This window comes from Homo sapiens, chromosome 7 (assembly GCF_000001405.40).
Source record: "Homo sapiens chromosome 7, GRCh38.p14 Primary Assembly".
Classification (NCBI taxonomy): domain Eukaryota; kingdom Metazoa; phylum Chordata; class Mammalia; order Primates; family Hominidae; genus Homo; species Homo sapiens.
In genome coordinates this window covers 95,389,864-95,396,407 of record NC_000007.14, presented here as the reverse complement: position 1 = coordinate 95,396,407, position 6,544 = coordinate 95,389,864, and the positions used below count along the sequence as shown (strand labels likewise).

Here is a 6,544-nt window from a genome sequence, read left to right as displayed (position 1 = left end):
CGCCGCGCCCCCGAGAGCTCTCGGCGCCGCGCAGTCGCCGCTGGGCACCCCGAGACCATGGGGAAGCTCGTGGCGCTGGTCCTGCTGGGGGTCGGCCTGTCCTTAGTCGGGGAGATGTTCCTGGCGTTTAGGTGAGTGGCATCTTGACAGGGCGTCTTCGACTCTCTTTCTCTCCTCTTCCAAGTGAGGTCAGGGGCTGCCTGGCGCCCCCTTCCTAGCGGGTAGGAAAGAGCAGCTTTGGAACCTCACTCCTCCATCTCACCCAGCAAACCGCCCCTTGAGACTCGCTTATGGGGAAAGTGAGCTACTTGCGTTTCCAAAGACTGCCGAGCCGAATTAGTCCCATTTATTTTTTGAAGGTTATGATCCCCCACTTTGCTTTCTGAAGGTCATGACCCCCTTTTACTTTCTGAACGTGATGACCCCTTTCCCAGCTCGCCCTCAACATTCTGCTTGGGAAAAAAGGACGTCCATTGGAAACGCCGGACTTGGGAGAGAGGATCAGGCTACCAGTTGGATGTTTACGGCTGACTGAGACATTGCCCAGGTCTGGCTAACCATGCAGAAGTACTGGGTTATGGAACCTATCCTAGATTTAAAGAGCTGGCCAGACAGCAGGGCAAACCAGCTGAAACCTGCAGGCGGTAACTGGCATTTTGTAGGCATTTGACCTTTTGAAGTGGAAGATACAATGGTGATAGCCAGCCTAGAAATGTCTCAGGAAAAGTCAATACTGGGCTAGAAAGAAGAACCTTTAAGTGATAATACACATTCATGAGTGGATCGAAAGCCTCTGCTTGCTTTCAGTTGTCTTTGAGTGTTTATGTATTTCTCTTAGTTGAAGCTGGTCTTCTTAGAGGATCACGTCTAGAATCTGTTGAGGTGCCTGGTGCCTATTAGTAATACTTCCAGTTTGAGAGTTTTATTGTTACATTTGCTCCCAGTGCAACCACATGGAGAATCATAAAATAATAGTAATAATAATAAAGTAGATCTAAGGGTATTTTTTTAAATAAATGACTGTAAGATAAGTATTGAGTCTTTCTGAATATACTTTAATAAAAATTTTAAATTATCCCTGATATTAGAAGAATGTGGAAACATTCCTTTTCACTCTGGAAACAAGAAAATTGTGTTGAAAAATAAATCGGCCAATTGTTTAAATTGTGGTTGGTTTAATGAATTTACATACTTGCGGAGTAAGTCAGCATAAAATTTAAAAATTAAAGCAAAAGTGATAGAGTTTGACTATTAGGAGACCCTGTTGAATTTTGGGAAAGCAGTTTGGAAGGAAAAGTTCAAAGGGCAAGACTGTAGGGGATTAAGTGCAGATTTATAACAGACGATACTTTAGAAAATTAGGGCTATTTCGTGCATTTAAATTAATAATATTGTTCAATTACTCATACTATTAAATAGTGTCTTTTATTTGGGCAGCAGAATTTTCCATGTTGAATCATATTATACAGTTTTTCAGCAATAACTGGGTAAGGTTAGCTGATATAGGTAAAATACCCACATAATGTCTACATTATGTAAATAAACATGAAAGGAAGTACCTACTTACTTGTTATGTCATTCATAAATTATGATAAAGATAGTTAACCAACACGAAGATGATTGAAGTCCACATTTAAACATACATTTTGAATGCTGTGCCTTGACTTCCAGGGTTGGGTTTTATCTTCTACAGAGAAAGGGTGAATGCCTCTCGAGAAGTGGAGCCAGTAGAACCTGAAAACTGCCACCTTATTGAGGAACTTGGTATGTATGTGACAGTACCAAGAGGAGCCAGCACAGCTTCTTGGTCGTCATCCACCTGACTGAGCCCTACCAGCTCATTTAATTACCTGTCACTACTTAAGCCCTCCCAGTGGGACATCTGCCCCGTCCACTCTGCCCCATGCAAGGTCTTCAGGGGTGTACTAAATGACATTCTTTGTGGGTTTTTCTCAGCACATTTCCTTACTGACATCTCTCCACATTACCTAAAGAATGTCATTGACCACTCCCTGGTTTTCCCCTCACTGAATGCTTCTCCTTTCCCATCTGTGGTATTTCACTCTCCTCCTTGTCCTCTGTTACCTTTCCTTTTTTTGCTTCTTTCTTCTTTCCTTCCTCCCTCCCTTTCCTTATTGTCATTCCTGGCTTCAAGTGTTATTTTTTTTCAAATAATATGACTCAGCCCCTCCCCTCAAGAACCTCACAGCAGGCTGGGCGCAGTGGCTCACACCTGTAATCCCAGCACTTGGGAGGCCGAGGGGGGCGGATCATGAGGTCAGGAGATCGAGACCATCCTGGCCAACATGGTGAAACCCCATCTCTACTAAAAATATAACAATTAGCCGGGCATGTTGGCGGCGTGTGCCTGTAATCCCAGCTACTCGGAAGGCTGAGGCAGGAGAATCACTTGAACCAGGGAGTCATCGGAGGTTGCAGTGAGCTGAGATCGCGCCACTGTACTCCAGCCTGGCGACAGAGCGAGACTTTGTCTTAAAAAAAATAATAAACGAAGGAACCTCACAGCCTACCTACCTTCTTTTAAAAAAATTCATAAAAAATCCATGGCCCAGTCCCTAACCTTTCAAACTGCAGCCCTTCTTTTTTAGTCAGTTAAAGGGCAGCTCCAGCTCAAACTCTCCCTAAGCTGAAATCTATTTTACATTTCTGTCGTTTTCTCCCTCATCCTCCCACCCACAACCAGCTCTGCTTCTAGACTTTTCCTATGTATGGTACCCCCATTCTCAAAAGATTCAGTTCAAAATCCAGGAACCATTGTTCCCCGCTTGTCCCTCATGCTTCTACGTGAGACATGGGCTAATCTCACCTACTAGTTAATGCCACACCTGCTTATTTGGGCTCCACAGCTCCAATTCTTCCTGACATTGCTAACAGAAAAATAAAATAAAATCAGGCTAGATTGTGTTCCCTGTTCTGGGAATATGTTCTTTCACCTTCTCACCTTTGCTTATGAAATTCCCTCCAAACTTACTGATTCCTCTGTCTCTGCTTACTAAAATCAGCTGCAAAATTCATCTCCTTCCTCTGAACTCTCACAGCACTCTGAAGCTCCGATTCACTTATGACACCTGCCACATGCCTTGTATTATAGCTAGCAGTGTTCTCTCTTTCACTATCAGATTGTAAACTCCCTAGGGCCAAGAACTGTGACTTATTTATTAGAATGTGATGAGATAGCTTATTTTGGGATATGATTTTCTATTTTATTGCTATATTTAAAAATACAGAAAAAGTACCCTTTTGATTTGAGTTTTCTGCCTTTTCTTGCCTCTCAATTTCTAAAAAATAAAGTAATCTGAACCTTGCACTCCCTAGTCTTAGAGGTGGTTTGTGCTAGCAGCTGGAAAGCAGAAGAAACCAAAGAAAACGCCTTTCCTGAATTGTTTTTAAAAACCTGAGCCCCTTCAAGGGATTCTGTTGGAGAAGGGATATGAATATGTGGATATCTTTGAATAATGGGGATCCTTACCCCACTGGCTGACAGCATTCTGGGAGAGGAGCAGGACCTCAGAAGGAATGGTTGCAAGGTATCTTTAGGGACGCTGGACCCTGTGTTCCAGCTAAGGTAAAGACCTTGTGTCAATGCATTACATGGAAGTAGCAGAATTGTCTAAATTAAAGGGACCAGTAACTTTGGCAATGAATAATTCGATGATACGTAGTGTAGAATGAATGCCAGATGGCCTTTCCAAAACATTCTGCTTAGGTTTAGAACCCACCACTTAAAATGATTTCATAACCCTAACAGACAAACCCAGTAATGACTCAGATTGGATTTTCCATCAACTTAGTGGAATAGGATATCAGAGTGATTTAATTTGATTTTAAAAATAAGGAAATGTGACATTTACTCATTTGTTTACTGTTTTGTGGTGTAGTAGTATTCATATTCACTATACAAATAACTGTCAAAATATATAAGCCTGCAAATAATCAAGAGGTATAATTAGACTAGATGATTGGTAGGGTCTAGTCTGACTCGAATTGTATCACTCAACTAGATTTGAGAAGGTAAAATTACAGTTAATATTGTGAGTCTTAGGTCAATGTTCTGATTTGCCAAATATTTTGAAGAAAATGGCTTAAATAGTTGGAAGCAGGCTGGGAGCAGAAGAAAGAAATGCCATGTTACTTCTCATGTCTATTGGCATATGTTTGGTGAACTAAACAAGTTAGAATGATGATGGGTCATGTGTCAGTAGGACAATACTGATATATATGTTTTGAAAAAGCTGCTTTATCAAAGGCCTGGTGACTATGAGCAGCCTGTTGAGTCCTTTACAAACATCTACATCATCCTCATAACCAATTTGTAAAGTGGATGCTGCTATCTATGCTTTGCAGATTAGGAAATTGACATACAGAAGAATTAAGTTGCTTGCCCAATGGTCCGGAACTAGGGGGTGATGGGCTTAGCTTATGAGCCAAGATCGTTTCCTTCTATGCCTTTTTACTCTCTGTTGTGTAACACTAACTTTCTGATCTACTGACAACACATTTTTTATTTTGGAAGCTTCAGGAAAGTATTGCAACAGTGGAAAACAGAAAATCTGAGATGCAAACAGCTGAAATATTACTAGATACAGGTTAATCAAAACAAGGCAGTCTAGATATTTAAATTAAGATAATGGATAAGATAATACTCACAAATCACAACTGGTTGAGGAGTAGAGGCTTTACAAAGCCCTGAAAAGCTGCTGAAGGATTTTAGGTAGGGTATAGTAGGCTGTAACAGAGCTGGAGAAAAATTCTTATTTGTGTTTTCAAGACCCAGACTTTTGAGGTTTATTTTATTGGTAGAAGAAACTCTTATTTTGTTTTCCTTCTCCAGCATTTTTTTCTGGGAAGAAAAGTTGAAAGGTGAAATATATCTTTCTCTGGAAATCATATCTCATAGATCTTTTTGTATTACGTTCATCTTTTTATCCAAGGCTTTTGAGGGTCAAGGATTGTTTTAACCAGGACGTTATCTGGCTGCCCTTGACATCTAATCAAAGCTGCACTTGAAATATGAATACTTCAGTAGGACTTTCACTAGGCAGGATTATCGAGTAGGTGGCCTCTGTATTTAATACCTACGTATCTTCTCTTCCACTCCTTTCCATTCTATAGCTTCCCATGTCTCCAATATATGCTTCTACTCCATAATAGGTTCCATGTGTTTTCTTAGCTGGCTATCAGAAACTTCTCTCCAAGATGTGAAGTGACGATAATAAAATTAACTGATAGTAATGCTTTGATGTGATCCTTTATCAGAGTGCCTGTAGGGGATGACTGGAGAAATGAAGAAAAGAGTAAAGAAATGAAGTTATGCCAAGTAGCAGTAGGGTTGACAGGCTAAGAAGCAGTAGGCACCTATTCATAAGACTGATTTTAGACTTAGCAGTGGGATTTTAATGATAGTTGTGCATAGGCTAATAAGTGTGTGGGAAAGTCTCAGAGGAAGGTATCCTGGGGGCTTTTGCTCCCACAGGTGCCATTGTTGCTGAGATGCATGGGGCCTGTCGTGCAGGCGTAGTGTAGGTGACAGCTCCTTTTTCAACTTGTTCTCAGTCAAAACTTACTTATTATATGTCTCTTTCCATAGAAAAAAATGCTGAAAACTAGCTCTTACTGAGAAAAAAGATCTAACTAAACTTTCATATTAATATTCAGTAATCTTTCATATTCATTTATACTCATTAGTTTATTACTCAATAATTTCCCAATATGATTGTATAATGTAGCGTTTTAGGCTTTACGTTGGAAGAGAAGGAATGCTTGGCAGAGAGGCCTGTAATAAAAGACCTTCACGATTATGACTTTCCAGATTTTATCACTGAGTCTATAGAGCAGCCTTCTATGGGGGATAAAGCTGAATCTCTCAGGATATGCCCTGGAAATTGTTACTTAAAGAGTAAATCTAGGATATGAGTTTATTTTCTAGGTATTTGCCTTTTTCTCCTGAAAATGGGGTTCTAAAAAAGGATTTAGTATTTGAGGAGTCTGACTCAAGCTTTACTATAGAGTAGCATGCCTGTGAGATTCTCCAAAGTTAATATGGTTTCCCAAGTAAATGGTTGAACAAGTCAACAATTTCCAAAAGAAGTTTCCAAAAGATATTTGTAGTTTGGACTGTGAGACGTATTTTTTAAGCCTTCATATATGCATTTTTCTGATTCTACCCTTCTTTTGCAGAAAGTGGCTCTGAAGATATTGATATACTTCCTAGTGGGCTGGCTTTTATCTCCAGTGTGAGTATTTTCCATGCTGCTCTCATGCTCACATCAATAGCTGTATAGACAGTGCATTAATGTTGTCCTCTGGAGCTGCCAGATGGATCCCTATGCTCTCATCCCACCTCCGGGTAAACCAGTCAACTAAAAAAGCCAAAACAGAATTTTGGAGGGCTAATTAGAACACCACAGGAATGCCCAGCTTTGACTGCCTCATGGTGGGCAACTCCCTGGGGGTAGTGGCATACTCAGTAGGGTCTTGATAAATGTGTATTGATTTCCACTCGATTCCTAGGCTAGTCTCCAGT

General features: G+C 40.6%; 1 protein-coding gene across 1 annotated transcript in view; it reads left to right on the top strand.

Moving 5' to 3' along the window:
* Positions 33 to 6,544, top strand: part of PON3 (paraoxonase 3) — a 36,504-nt gene continuing 29,992 nt past the window's right edge. Inside the window, exons 1-3 of the mRNA NM_000940.3 lie at positions 33 to 131; positions 1,694 to 1,764; positions 6,199 to 6,254. Coding sequence (NP_000931.1) covers positions 58 to 131; positions 1,694 to 1,764; positions 6,199 to 6,254 — 201 coding nt within the window. The 5' untranslated portion in view covers positions 33 to 57. The remainder of the gene's footprint in view (positions 132 to 1,693; positions 1,765 to 6,198; positions 6,255 to 6,544) is intronic.